Here is a 13,335-nt window from a genome sequence, read left to right as displayed (position 1 = left end):
GGTGGGCACGGGAGCCTGCTCTGTAGCATTCAGCAGCCTCTTTACTGGGAGGGCAGTTAAAGGCTGACTTTGAAACTCCTCTGGGCCGGCGCCTAGGACCCCGACACTCCAGGGAGACCCAGAACCTGGGCCCCTAGTTACCAGTGACTTTGTGCTTAGGTATGCAAGGGCAGCGGGCTGTCATTTCCCCATTTTATGGATGAAACCACCGAGGCTCAGAGAACAGCTTGCCCAAGGTCACACAGGGAACCGCTGGTGGAGCTGGTCCCCCGCTCTGAGCACCATTCACACTCAGCTCAAGCCTTCATTCCCACTGGGAGCCTTTGCTACGCCGTCACCTCCCATCGAAGGTAGCTGTGTCTGTCTGTGTGTAATAGTGACCTAAGGAAGGAGGACAGACCCGGTATTTGGGCGAATCACCCATCTTCTGTTCATTTATCCAGTAGGTGAGCTCCTTCCCTGTGCCACTGGAGATGGGAGGACCTGGTGAATGGAACAGGCCTGAGCCTGCCCTCAGGGAGCTACTAGTCTGGTGCAGATGGGAAACAGAGTCAGATACTGAACGGAGGAGGAGATTCGACAGTGTCACATGACTGTGCCTGGGGGCTGCTTTATTGGTCTGAGAGGGTCTCTCAGCAGGGCTGACCTTGTGCTGAGAATGAGGGATGAGAAGGAGTCAGCGGTGGGAAGACCTTGGGGGGAGTACCTCAGGCAGAGAGGAGAAGCCGAGAGGGTGAGGTCTGCTAAGCTAGGTGTGGTGGCCATGTCCAGTTCCCAGCTGGCCGTGTCACCTTGAGGGGGGACTGACCAGGTTGCAGTTCCTTCTTCTGTAAAATGAGGGGGTGACTAAAGCGTACACAAGTTCTGATTCTGGGAAAACCACAGAGAATCGAGTTTTGTAAGGTGCTGCCAGCAGGGGAGGAGGTGGAGGGTACGTGGAGAGCTCTATTATTGCTTACAGAATTGAACGTGAAACGACAATGGTTGCTAAATTAAAAAGTTGGTTATTTTAAGCAGTGAAAGGTCTGGGAGGGCCGTTCCCTTCTTGATGCTGGGACCACCCTTGTAAGAGGCAGCGCCACACCATCCTCACGGTCGTCTCAGGCAGGGGACACCCTAGAGAGGTCTCTCGCTGTCACCCGCAGATGGCAGAAGTGGGACTGGCTCCGGGGCAACCCCTGGTTGCCTCGCACAGGGCTCCCTCCCTGGCAGGAAGGAGGCCCATGCAGGGTGAGGGTGCCCTCAGGAGCTCAGGCAGGCGGCAGGTTTGGAGGGACGGGGGTTCCCAGTGGCAGTGATGGAGGGGTGTTTCTCATTCCCCACTGCCGTGATTCCATGCAAGTGGATGGAGCGTGCTGGAGAGGTCAGGAAGGAGCATGGGCGCCTGCCTCACCCCTGCCCCACCAGCACTCAGGCAGGCCTCACAAATCACAATGGGCCCTGTCCCTGGTAGCACCCAGGGTTGATGAATGGGGACTCCCAGGCCCTGGGGCACTTGGAAATCCCTCATGCAAAAGGTGGAAACTAGAAGTTGTCCTGCAGATTGACATTCTCAGAACTCCTTCCCTCCCTTCCTCACTGACCCGGCCCCGACCCGTGGGATGATTTTCATTCTCCTGCCTCCAGAGAAGGACCTGTGCTTACGTCCTCACGCAGACTGCTCTCCGCCACTTTCCCTCACCCATGTATTCATTTCACAAGCATTTACGAAGTGCCTCCTGTGTGTCTGGCATGGTGGTTGGTGCCAGTGTGCGTTGATCGGTGATCAAGGTGGTTGCGACTCCAGCCTACAGAAATGTACAATCCAAGTGTGAAATGAACAACTGCCCTTTCCTAAGCGTTTGCTTTCAAAGCAGATGTTTTTAGACTAAGTTGTTGTTATTCTTCAAACCGGTTGTGTGTGGTTTCAGTCCCTGCTTCTGTCTTCACATTGAGGCCTAATTAGGAATCAGCTGTTGCCTAGCTAATGTTTATTGAGCAAGCACTATGCACCCGGCACTGTGCCTGAGATATTCACTATCATCTGATTTAATCCAGAGTTTCTCGACCTTGGTGCTGACGTTTGGGCTCAATAATTCTTTTCTGTGGGGGACTTCCCTGTGCGTGGCAGGGTGGATGTTTAGCTACTTCCCCTCGCCCACTGGATGCTAGTAACACCCCCTCCCAGTTGTGGCAACCACAAGTGTTTCCAGATATGGCCAGATGTCCCCTGGGGCAAAATCATCTCCGGTAGAAGAACCACACCTTAGCCCTAGCAGCTGCCCTTGAGGTCCCAGTCCCTTCATCTGCAGAATGCGGGTGTTGACGGGACTCCCCAAAGCGGCTCCTTGGGAGCTTTGAATGATATAATGCACTTAAAGCTCTTAGCACAACCCAGCTAAAGCTGGAGTGGCTGCAGCTCTCCCCGCTGGTGTGTCTGAGTGTCTGACGGGCAGAAGTCGTTTTTACCATCCACTCATCCCCCGACGGTTCCCTGGGGCTTGCAGTGCAAGCCAGACTCCATGCCACAAGCTAGGCTCACCTTGCAAAGATGGTCAAGGTCACAGCCATTGTGACCCTCACTCCCACCAGGGATGCCTGCGTGGACAGCCTGTACCCAAGGAACTGGAAGGCGCAGGCTCTGGCTCTAGCCAGCTTTGCACGGTTGCTCTGTGTCTCTGGGCAACTCCCTCCCCCTCTCTGGCCCTGTCCTTTTCTCATCTGACCCATTTTAGGGGCTTCTAAGCCACTCTCCTCCCCTAGAAACTCAGTATCTAAGAGGGTGAGTTTTTTCCCAAGGTTTTCCCCTGGGTCGTTTACAATTCTGATCACTTAGGGATCTCTGAGCCACTCACAGTGCCAGGTGACCACCCCCTTCCAGCATAACAAATTCACCTATGTGGCTCCAGCAGTTGCTTTCACATCCTGGGCTTCATAATTGAACAAGTGGTTCCTTCACTAAGGAAGCGAGCGCCTGGTTGGAATCTGTTCATCCATAGCGGGCGCTTGTAAGTCCATTCCCTGCAGGTCCCGGAACCCGCCACTGAACGATGTCAATTTCAGCCTGTTGGACACGGCTCCCGCATTGTCTGAAAGGAGCTTCCCCAGCAGGTCTGATGTGTGCCGTGTTTGGAGAGTCACACTGGAAAATGATACCTGAATCGTTTCAAGTTCACGTTGTCTATGCTGCCTTTGCCCCAATACACACCCATGGCCACCTGCAGGAAGTCTCAGTGCAGCTTTGCCAAGCCCCAAAGCAGCTAGCTCCTCATTGTATCTTCATGCTATGCCCCAGGAGGTAGGGTTTCTTGCCCTTGAATGAGACAAAGGTTTCCTACCTCAGGGCATTTGCACTTGCCATTGTTTGGCCAGGAGTGTTTTTTCCCCAACTCTCCTCATATTTAAGGTCTCTGCTGAAAAGCCACCTCCTCCGAAAGGCTGTCCCTAACCAGATCATTTAAGGAGGTCCCCGCTCCTAGGTGCTCATTATCACAAACCTGCTCTAGTTCTGTTCCATGTTCTGGAGAAGACAGAGGAGGACTCTTCTTCAAAAACACTCGTGTTGTTCAGAGATCCCTGCAGTTCCTGGCTCTTCTGTGCCTGAAGTGCTCACTGGCAGAGACGTCCGCAGTTCTTCCTGAACAATATGTTGATACTTTACAGTGATGCTTTCTCTTGGGGGTACAGTGGTAGTTTGGGACATCCTTTTGGGAGTATTTGATTGTATTGGGGAGGCAGTGACACTTTACATCGGGGAATCCCAAGCTGCTCTCCCTCCCCTGGCTCTTGTCACCTTTAAGACAGAGGTTGGAGGTTCCATGCTTATTACTTGGGGCAGACAATAGGAGCCAGTGCTTCCAGATTACTTAAAATCTCCTTTCCTCGTTTCTAAATTTTAAATGACGTGTTTAGAATTTAATCTTCAAACCTGGGAGCCAGACCTGCAAGTGGAGAGATGACAGCCGAGAGATGGTTTCGTGTGGCTGCAGCAGCCAGATGGCAGATGCTGTGAGCGGGAGGCGAGGGAGGCTGCGAGAGAGGGAAGCGGCTTCTGTTTCGGCTCTTACCCTCCCTTTGCAGGAAACTAACCCCCTCCCCCAGTGCCAGGCCTGGGCCAGGCCCTAAGGACCGCTTAAGGCTGCTGGCCTCAGCCTCTGCCAGGGCGATTCTGGTGATGCCAAGGGACAGGGCACTCCCAGACCGTTCACTTGTTTTCAGAAAACTTTTTATTTTGAGACAATTGTTTGTTAGCATGCGGTTGTAAAAAATAATACAGAGAGGTTCTATGTAGATATCCTCCAGCTTCCCCCAATGGTACCGTCTTACATAACTGTAGTACAGTGCCAAAGCCAGCAGTTGACATTTGTCACAAACCATCAACCTTACCTTTCCCCAGTTTTACACACACTCATTCGAGTGTGTGTGTCTGTGTGTGTGTTTCGTTCAATGCAGTTTTATTGTATGCGTAGATTTGTGTAACCACCAGTCAAGACACAACAGTCCCATCACAAGAACATCTCATTCTACCCTTTTCTAACTGTATCCACCCCCTTACCCATGAAACCACTAATCTCTTCTCCATTTCTATAATATTGTTATTTTAAGCATGTTATAGAAATGGAGTCATACACTATCTAGCCTTTTGAAATTGGCTTTTTTCACTTAACGTAATTCTCTGAAGATGTCTCCACGTTGCTGTAGGTGTCAGTAGTTCATTCCTTCTTGTTGCTGCGTAGTGTTCCAAGGTATGAATGCACCATGGTTAGTTTAACCATTCACCTGTTGAGGGACATCTGGATTGCTTCCAGTTTTTTTTGTTTGTTTGTTTGTTTTTGCTATGAAAAGTAAAGCTGCCGTGAACACTCATGCACAGGTTTTTGTGTGAACATTAAGTCTTCATTTCTCTGGGATAAATGCCCAGGAGTGCAATTGCTGGGTCGGATGGGAGTTGCAGATTTAGTTTTTGAAAGACCCTTCAGTTTCCATTCACATCCATGCCCTCCTCTGGTCTCTGGCTTTGGTGGAAAGATGCGAGTGCTGGGGAATGGACATTTTGCAGAGATTCCTTCCTCTTTCACATGTTAATCGAGGGCCACTTCTTGTGTCAGGTGTGGTGTTAGCCCTCACGGATACAGCGCCAGGGTAAATAAGGGTCATCGAGGCGCTTTCTTGCTGGTGAGGTGCACTTGACAATGAACAAGCAAGCACTTAGAAAGAAGATGGTTTCTCATAGCAGCCAACACGTACTCAGTGCTTCCTACACACCAGGTGCTTTCTGGGTTCTTTACGATCCTCAAACAACCCAATGAGACGGGGCCATAGTTCACTCCATGGTACAGACAAGGAAGTGGAGACACACAGCTGCTCCCACAGCCAGAATAATCCATGCTCCTGACCATACTCTGCACTGCCCCTCGTGACCAAGACAGGCCACCAGGCGATGCAGAGTAAGAGAAGAGGTGAGAGCACATGTGGGATGACAGACCCAGGGCAAGTCTTCCCACAGACAAAACTGCATGTGCAAAGGCCTTGGGGTGGGAGCAGGCGAAAGGCCAGGCTGGCTGGCGCATGGTGAGCGAGGAAGGAGATGGGAAGTGCAGTGGTGAGGTGGGGTGGGCCTCGCAGGGTTTTAACCTGAGCATAGTGTGGGAAGTCAGAGACTTGATTTTTTTTAAAGATTGTTCCGGCTGCAGGGTGGAGAATAGACGGGGGGTGTGTTTGCAAGAGAGGAAGTAGGGAGACAAGGAGGCCACGTGGAGAAACCTTCTGCTCTTGAGGGATGAACGCCAAGGTTCTCTCTCCTCCTCCTTTGGCCACAGGGTCTCTGTGTGGGTGCTCAGCAGTGCAAGGAGGCCTCTCGTCATGGGGGGTCCAGCTCCCAGTGGCTCTCCCACAGCTCCGCCCCTCGAGGGCAGGAGAGCTGATCCCCAGCCAGTCGGCCCCTTGAGCCTCTGCAGCTGGACCGTGAGCTCCCATCTAGGTCTGTCTTCTGATGGATGTTTCTGGTTTCTTGAGTTTTCTCACCATTTCTCTTTCTTCCTCTTTTCGTACCAGTTGTGATTCTATAAATTGAATTTACCTGCTCAGTATCAGTCACTCCAGATCGTTAATAAACGTGCGCCTGACATCCTTGACGCATTCACCATGCTTGCCCGGTCAGCATGCATGCTTTGCCATGTCATGATGCCTGCTTTGCCATGTCATGATGATCACCATTTATTATGCACTTGCTGTGTACCAGCTAGCGTTCCGAGAGCTAGTACCTATGTCCCTGTTGAGTTCACCCTTAAGCAGTCCTGTGAGGCAGGTACTGTTGTTGATTCGTGCCTTACTGTGAAGAAGCTGAGGCAAGGGGCCAGGTCACCACAGACACCACACATACAGCAGGTGGCTGCATCTGGATTCGAATCCAGAGCCAGGCTCCCTGCCTTCCACAGCTTTGCTGTGTCCCCATCTCGACGCTCAGAGAAAAGACACCTCCGGAAGCTTCCCCTGCTGCCTTCGCAGAACAGTTGGTCAGAACCTCGTCTTCCCAGAATTTGGGATTTTCTGCTTCTGGAAGATGCTGCTTCGAAAGGAAGTGATAGCAAGGGCTGGAATAGCCTCGCCTGTGGGGCGGGGACAGGGAGAGGCGGCTGATGTCTGGGAGGCTTAGAACTTCCTTCTTGGAATCTGTTTTTCACGTTGCCTGAAAAAGAAAGAGGAAGAGACTCATACAGATGGAGACACAGGGAAAGACTCAACGGATTTAGACCCCAGACAGTCACACACCGGAGACAGACAGACAGACAGATGCCCCAGAGGAAAGGACACACCCCCAAACAATCAAAGGTGGGAGGCAGACACACAGACACCCTTGGACACGTTTGCTGCCCTGGAGCCCCCTCTCTAGCGAGGTCGCCCTTCCCATCTGAGCTCCTTCCCTCCTCAAGCTGCCGCTGGGCCCGGCAATCCATTCAGGGGCCGACTGTCAGTGTGGCCAGCAGCATTTCCTAGACCCTCCTCCCCCAAACCGGAAAACACTCGTAGCAAGGAATGCCCCGCCTGTGGGCCAGGGGTCTTCCTGGGCCTCTGAGCCCCACATGAAGGTGATGAGCCAAGCGCCAGGCTAGGGTCAGCAAGTTGGCATGGTTGGGGGGCACGTGGGTCATGATGGCAGTGACCTTCCAGCTCAGTCGGGCTCCTGACGGACTCAGGCCTTGCCTTTTGCTGCTTCCAAGAGGTCGGAGGAGGTGAAGGCATGGCTGCCGGTGGAGGGGTCGGGGCTGCTGGAGGCTGCTTTTCGGGGTGGGTACTTTGTTTTGAGTTTGTTGTCCACTCTTGTGACTAGTGAGAACAGATATCACAGCACCGGGCTCTGTGTCCCAGGCACAGGGAAAGTCTGGCCCTTGCCACCTGAACTTCTGTGACTTTTCTGGGCGGGACGGGTGGAGGGTGGGCGGTGACATTGTTGCACCTCTCCGAGCCTCAGATTCCTTATCCCAAAAATGGGATGATAATAAGACAAGCGTACTTCCTGGGAAGCTGCTGAGAAAATTAAATGAGATGACAGAAACCCCTCCATATGGGGCATGAAACACAGCAGGAGCTCACTGTACCTACTGCACGTTCACTGTGGTCAGAACGGCTTTAGAAGATTCCAAGCTATTCCTCGTATGTCCACATTCATCTGTCCAGATATAAGTCCAGCCTGATTTCTGGGGTACAGGATCAAATTGCTGTGCTCCAGAGAGGACAGATCACAGTAGAATTTGCGTGCCCTCGCTCCTGAGGCCTGGCCTCAATCATCGTGAATTCTCAGTGCTCATGCAGGGCCTGGCATACAGCAGGGGCACGATAAATATATGCGCTGCCGCAGTGAGGGAATAGGAAGGGAAAGGGCCTGAGGATAGATTTAGATGACAGAAGAAAATGTCTTTCATGGAAAATAAAATAAGACATCCCCCTGGGCGTCCCTGCATGGAGACAGAGGGCAGGTTGCTAATATTCTGTCCCAAAGGGGTGTAGCTGGGATTCTGCAAGTCCATCATCCAGGGCAGGGGTCCTGCCTCCTCACCTTGCAGCTCATTTCCCTCTGTTCAGCCCCCTCTGTCTGTCTAAACAAGGTGTATTATTCTGCTCAGGCCGCTGTAATAAAATAACCCCGGACTGTGTGGCTTAGACAGTAGACATTTGTTTTCCTGCAGTTCTGGAGGTTGGGAAGTCCAAGATCAAGGGGCCAGCAAGTTTGGGTTCTGGTGAGAACTGCTTTGTGGCTTGTAGATGGCCACCTCCTGGCTGCGTCCTCACATGGCCGTTCCTTGGTGCCAGCACATGGAAGGAGGGGGGAGAGAATGAGCTCTATGCTGTCTCTTCTTATCAGGTCACTAATCCTGTTGGATCAGGCCCCCACCTTTATGACCTCTTTTAACCTTAATTACTTCCCTAGAGGCTCCGTCTTTACATGCAGCCACACCAGGGGTCAGGGCTTCAACATATGTTGGAGGGGCACAGAGGTCTATAACACGAGGTCCTTTGCTTTCTGCTCCAAACAGAGGGTTTGGGAAGGGAGGTGGGAATGGCCACCTCTATAATGTTACTATTAGCAACAACCCAATAGTGGCCACCACTTGTCAGGCTTTGGGAGAGGCATTTACTATGGAACTCCCATGTTGGTTGCATGAGTGAGGCCCCATTTGCTCTTGGGGTCTGAAGGTGGGAAAACAAGCCCAGAGAGGGGAGGGTAGCACTCAGGTGGCAGGTAGCAGGGTCCGGACTAGGGTGCAGGTGTGTGCCACATCCAGGTTCACACCGTGAGCCTCTGTACTGCTCTGGAGGTAGTAGCTTGGCTGATCATGTGTTGACTGGCTGTGGGTCTCTTTGCTGGCTGTGGACCAGGTGCCAGGGACACTGGTAAAGGGACACTCATGATGGGACACTCTTTTCCTTGTAGCTGGGAGTCCCACGTGGTGGTGGCCTGTGCTTGACACCACAGTAGTTACTACTACTATGCAGGATGTGGCAGTTCTCAGGCGACCAGCCCTGGGCTTTGAGGGTTAAAGAGGAGTCTACCAGTTAGAGACTGGACTCCTGCATGCCGGGCTCATGCCGGCTTTGAGGAGGCTGCAGGACGAGGCGATTGCATCTGACAGAGTGGCCACACCAACGATGGCAGCAAGACATAGACCGAGGAAAGGCTAAGTCATGACTTAGACATTTTCTTAGAAGTCATAGCAGATGTCTTGGGTGGTATTTACAAAATTAACCACCACATGGGAGAGTTTAAAACTGCCAGAGACAGCCAGAGAAGGAAGTGGCTGCAGGGGCTGGGCCATTGGAAATGGGGTAGACGCAGGCCACCGAGAATGGGCAGCAGGAGGAGGGCAGGCACCCCAGGCAGGTGGGCCAGCCCGGGCAAAGGTGTGGCCCCAAGAAGGCAGGCCTTCTGCTCCCAGTGCGGCCAGGGTGCTGGCGGCCAAGAGGCTTGGACCACAGTCAGGGGCAATTGGTGATGAAGTCGGGGCGGGGGCCCAGGAGAACCGGCATGTTGGGCCCAGGGAGCAGCCCTCTTACTGGCGGCTGATACTTACTGCGCACCTAAGTATGCACCAGGTGCCGTTCATTGTACTTTATGGCTCTTCACTCCACTGCATCCACACAGCAACCCGTGCGTGGGTGCTAGTGGTATTCCGCTTTTCCAGATGTGGAAACCGAGGCACAGAGAGTGAACGAATCACTTCCTGATGCCCTGTGTTTGGCCATGGGGAGAGCTGGGGGTTGGATCCAGGCAGGACAGCGCCAGGATTCCTTTTAACCGCTAAGCTACTCCGCTGAGTGTTTACTGAATTGGATTCGACTCCTGGGAGCCCGATGGTGCAAGGGGCCTGCCCAGACCCTCACTGCTTCCTCCAGCCTCTCTGACGCCTGACCTTGCCCATCTGCCCACCTCCCTGCCTCTGCCCCAGGGGAGACCGAGAATAGCTGGGCCCCTCTTGCTCCCGAAAGACAGAGCCACCCCGGGTTAGCGGCGAGACCCCTCCAGACGGTGCCCGTCGCCGACTGACCCTCAGAGGCTCTCCAGCACGCGGCGGGCATCAATGAGGCCCCGGGGATTGAATGAGGCACTATTGAGAAGCGGCTAAATACCAGCCGCATTGTGCTTCCTGATCCAGGGCTTCGCTTTTTGTCCAAGAGCCTTGGAAACGGAGCCCCGGTTCACTTCCCCTCCCCTGGGCGCCGCCCGCCATCCTGGCTCATGTCAGGAAACACCAGGCTCTTGAAAATCAGTAATTGAGAGAAACATCTGCTGGTTACCAAGGAGCACGAGGTGCTTGCCGAGTGGCGAGGGCATACGTGCGTCACTGTCGGCCGGTTGGAAACACACATGTGAGTGCATGCAGGCACACACGTGCGCGTGCGAGAGTCTTTCTGGTATGTTATTAAGATTTAAAAAATTAGAAGTGTTATGCCTGTTATAAAAATGCAAACAATTTACGAATACAAAAAAGTAAAAGGGATAGCCCCTTCATCTAGAAGAAGTCATCATGAACAATTTAATTTTTTATCCTCATTTTTGCTATAAAAATGGATCCATATTTTATTTACCATTCCAGTTTCATTATTTCTGCCCCACAATAATTGCCAGCATCCATCCATTATCAGACTGAATTGGATTCAATTCCTGGGAGCCAGACAGTGGACCAGCAGTTCTTAGCCAGGGGTGACTTGCCCCACAGGGGGCGTTTGGCAATCCCTGGAGACATTTTTGAGTGTCGCAATGGGGATTGATGGTGCTTCTAGCCTCTAGTGGGTAGAGCCCAGGTTGCTGCTGAACACCCTGCTGCTTAGGACGGCCCCACAATAGAGATGATCCAGCTCCAAGCTCAGTTTCCCCTGCTCAGAGCTCAGCGTAGATTTATGTCATCAGTTTTAATGGCCTCATCCCATAATGTGATGTACCAAGGTGTGTTTGGTGGCATTTAGATGGTCTCTGGTTGATCATTTGAAAAACACCCCATGCAATATATATATATGAACAGGGATATATATGTGTGTGTATATACATATTTGTTTTGTGTATATCTATATATACGTTTTGGGCCCTTCTGTGAATTTTTCCACTGGATATGATTCTGGAAGTTGAACTTGCAGGGTTGAAAGGTGAAGTGCTTGTGTAATGTTGACAGGCACTGCTCAATATCCTCCAAGAAGACTGTGGCCGTCAACACCACCACGGACTCACTCACCCACGCCCACCCGTTCCCCATTTGTCGTCCACTCTCCTCAATTAACAAACACATTTGGTTTATTTTAAATAACTTTCGGATGTTATGCACCTCCGACATGTCCACTGACTGCTCGCTCACTGTGAGTTCACTCCGTTCTGCCAATAATTCAAACGGTGACTGATATTTTGCTGACAGTGGATGTTTAAAGGTGTTCGATGTCAGTGACAATAGAAACAAAAATCCCATTAGTTCTTTCCATTTGGATAATAGCAAGAAGGATAAAAGGCACAGCTTTGTCTTTTCTCATTGGAGGAGTATTCTAAAATCATCAGGTTCTAAAATGATTCTAGAGACCGTTTACTTTCCTGTTCCCTGAATGCACTTTCAGACGCAGGGCTCACCCACGGCCGCGCTGCATCCTCCTCCAGGTCCACCTCCTGTGTGATGACTCGGGACACTGGTTGGGGGTTGGGGGGGCGGTGGGGAAGAACGTGTTTCTCTGTGTTGCTCAGGAACTCCCAAAGCTTCGGAAATGAATGGGGTTCTGCACAGTTCTCTCTGGGTGGTATAAAAAGGCAGCCCGCCCCTAACCTGAGTGGGCCTTTGCAAACTAGAACAGGGTACCAGTGAAAAGAGAAGCACACAGAGGCCAGGTATGTGCCGTTCATTGATCTCTGAAATCCCTTGGGTCTGTGCTGGCTGGGGACGGAATACAACGCGGAGTCAGGCACACCCAGCCTGACAGGCTCAGACCATAGGGCAGGGGGCCAAGTGGGAGTTAGTGTGGGAGCCTGGAAGGGGAAGACCAAGGCCGACGGGGCATTGCAGGTGTGCATGCGACCTGAGGGTGGAGGCTTGTCAGGCGTGTCAGCCTTGATCCTGGCACCTAGGAGGGAGGGAGGTTGGAAGGAGGGAGGAAAGATTGTGGTGAGTCAGCCAGGTGAAGAAAAGGTGGAAGTGGTCTCTAGACAGCGGGCATGAGTGTGGATCCTGGGGCTTGAGGCCGGGTGGTGAGACAGCACACTCAGAACCATCATCTGCCAGCCCATTAGCTGTGCTGCACCACGGAGGCCTAGAGAAGACACCTTCCTCCCTGGAGTGGCCCAGTGAAGGAGAGACAGTGGACCGGTGGGTGCCACAGGGCAGCCTGCATGCCTGGCTCCATGTACTACCCCCCCCACCCCACCCCTACCTCCAGGCCAGGAGAGGGAAGGCCCAGGAAGCGAGATGTCTGGTGCCTGGATGCCACCTTGGGGCCCTCAGCCAGGGCACGTGGAGGGGTGGTCAGGTGCCCCTCCCTGCCCCACCCATTCCCAGTGCAGTATCTGTGCTCCTAGGGTCAGGCAGAGACTGTCCGGCCTTCCCACCCTAATTCCGAGCCCCTCCCGCAGCAGCCCTTGTCAGCCCAGGGTGACAGCACCTCCGCAGAGACCACCTGGGAAGCCTCGTTATGGGAGCAGCTGTCTGTTTTGGATACTGACAGATGCTTCTCAAATCTTTTTTTTTTCCCTCTTTTACTATAAATATAATTATATGTGCTCCAAAATGCTGAGATTGCAGAAATGTATTACACGGAAGGGATGTCCCCTGGTGTCTGTGGTCCCTCCTCGAGGGACCCACAGCTGGCAGTTTCATGCATGCCCTGCTGGTCCCTGGTCTGTGCAGACGTGGACAGTCACTCATAAATATAGGTGTGTATCAGAAGGTTTCACCTGTATTTTTAAAAACATATTTGTTGTTCTTTTCTAACCCAGTTTGGGCTCATCCCGTGAGGATACAGACTGACCGGTGGCTGTGCTTCCCAGGGTGGTGTCATCCCTGCCAGGGACATTTCAGTGGTTCCCAGTTGATTGTGACCTTTTGTGCAAACCTGCAGGGGGCCTTCTTGCACACTCATCTGTGTACACCAGAATAAATGAGCTTCAGTTGGGTGCGGTGGCTCACGCCTGTAATCCCAGCACTTTTGGAGGCCGAGGTGGGTGGATCCCTTGAGGTCAGGAGTTCGAGACCAGCCTGTCCAACATGGTGAAACCCCGTCTGTACTCAAAATACAAAAATTAGCTGGGCGTGCTGGCGGGTGCCTGTAGTCCCAGCTACTTGGGAGGCTGAGGCACAAGAATTGCCTGACCAGGAGGTGGAGGTTGCAGTG

At 52.6% G+C, this 13,335-nt stretch overlaps 1 protein-coding gene across 5 annotated transcripts in view, besides 12 other annotated features; it reads left to right on the top strand.

Annotated features, from left to right (window-relative positions):
- PMEPA1 (prostate transmembrane protein, androgen induced 1) overlaps positions 1-13,335 on the top strand; it is a 63,077-nt gene that overhangs the window by 28,902 nt on the left and 20,840 nt on the right. The window lies entirely within an intron of this gene.
- Positions 105-605: an enhancer, noted in NCBI's record as "H3K4me1 hESC enhancer chr20:56257022-56257522 (GRCh37/hg19 assembly coordinates)". NCBI's record gives its function as "activates a minimal SCP1, AML or CMV promoter by ChIP-STARR-seq in naive H9 embryonic stem cells {active_cell/tissue: H9 hESC(naive)}" and the evidence as "EXISTENCE:reporter gene assay evidence [ECO:0000049][PMID:30033119]".
- Positions 105-696: a biological region, named in NCBI's record as "H3K4me1 hESC enhancer GRCh37_chr20:56257022-56257522".
- Positions 533-696: a silencer, noted in NCBI's record as "fragment chr20:56256931-56257094 (GRCh37/hg19 assembly coordinates)". NCBI's record gives its function as "represses an EF-1alpha promoter that drives an FKBP-Casp9 reporter gene in an ReSE screen in K562 erythroleukemia cells {active_cell/tissue: K562}" and the evidence as "EXISTENCE:reporter gene assay evidence [ECO:0000049][PMID:32094911]".
- Positions 915-964: an enhancer, noted in NCBI's record as "active region_18172". NCBI's record gives its function as "activates an Ori minimal core promoter by ATAC-STARR-seq in GM12878 lymphoblastoid cells {active_cell/tissue: GM12878}" and the evidence as "EXISTENCE:reporter gene assay evidence [ECO:0000049][PMID:35858748]".
- Positions 1,055-1,114: an enhancer, noted in NCBI's record as "active region_18171". NCBI's record gives its function as "activates an Ori minimal core promoter by ATAC-STARR-seq in GM12878 lymphoblastoid cells {active_cell/tissue: GM12878}" and the evidence as "EXISTENCE:reporter gene assay evidence [ECO:0000049][PMID:35858748]".
- Positions 1,525-1,634: an enhancer, noted in NCBI's record as "active region_18170". NCBI's record gives its function as "activates an Ori minimal core promoter by ATAC-STARR-seq in GM12878 lymphoblastoid cells {active_cell/tissue: GM12878}" and the evidence as "EXISTENCE:reporter gene assay evidence [ECO:0000049][PMID:35858748]".
- Positions 1,911-2,434: an enhancer, noted in NCBI's record as "H3K27ac-H3K4me1 hESC enhancer chr20:56255193-56255716 (GRCh37/hg19 assembly coordinates)". NCBI's record gives its function as "activates a minimal SCP1, AML or CMV promoter by ChIP-STARR-seq in primed H9 embryonic stem cells {active_cell/tissue: H9 hESC(primed)}" and the evidence as "EXISTENCE:reporter gene assay evidence [ECO:0000049][PMID:30033119]".
- Positions 2,015-2,084: an enhancer, noted in NCBI's record as "active region_18169". NCBI's record gives its function as "activates an Ori minimal core promoter by ATAC-STARR-seq in GM12878 lymphoblastoid cells {active_cell/tissue: GM12878}" and the evidence as "EXISTENCE:reporter gene assay evidence [ECO:0000049][PMID:35858748]".
- Positions 2,435-2,959: an enhancer, noted in NCBI's record as "H3K27ac-H3K4me1 hESC enhancer chr20:56254668-56255192 (GRCh37/hg19 assembly coordinates)". NCBI's record gives its function as "activates a minimal SCP1, AML or CMV promoter by ChIP-STARR-seq in primed H9 embryonic stem cells {active_cell/tissue: H9 hESC(primed)}" and the evidence as "EXISTENCE:reporter gene assay evidence [ECO:0000049][PMID:30033119]".
- Positions 3,524-4,039: an enhancer, noted in NCBI's record as "H3K4me1 hESC enhancer chr20:56253588-56254103 (GRCh37/hg19 assembly coordinates)". NCBI's record gives its function as "activates a minimal SCP1, AML or CMV promoter by ChIP-STARR-seq in naive H9 embryonic stem cells {active_cell/tissue: H9 hESC(naive)}" and the evidence as "EXISTENCE:reporter gene assay evidence [ECO:0000049][PMID:30033119]".
- Positions 4,040-4,556: an enhancer, noted in NCBI's record as "H3K4me1 hESC enhancer chr20:56253071-56253587 (GRCh37/hg19 assembly coordinates)". NCBI's record gives its function as "activates a minimal SCP1, AML or CMV promoter by ChIP-STARR-seq in naive H9 embryonic stem cells {active_cell/tissue: H9 hESC(naive)}" and the evidence as "EXISTENCE:reporter gene assay evidence [ECO:0000049][PMID:30033119]".
- Positions 5,211-5,794: an enhancer, noted in NCBI's record as "H3K4me1 hESC enhancer chr20:56251833-56252416 (GRCh37/hg19 assembly coordinates)". NCBI's record gives its function as "activates a minimal SCP1, AML or CMV promoter by ChIP-STARR-seq in naive H9 embryonic stem cells {active_cell/tissue: H9 hESC(naive)}" and the evidence as "EXISTENCE:reporter gene assay evidence [ECO:0000049][PMID:30033119]".

This window comes from Homo sapiens, chromosome 20, assembly GCF_000001405.40.
Source record: "Homo sapiens chromosome 20, GRCh38.p14 Primary Assembly".
Lineage (NCBI taxonomy): Eukaryota > Metazoa > Chordata > Mammalia > Primates > Hominidae > Homo > Homo sapiens.
Note: the sequence above shows the minus strand (reverse complement) of the source record. Positions and strands in the feature narration are given on the sequence as shown.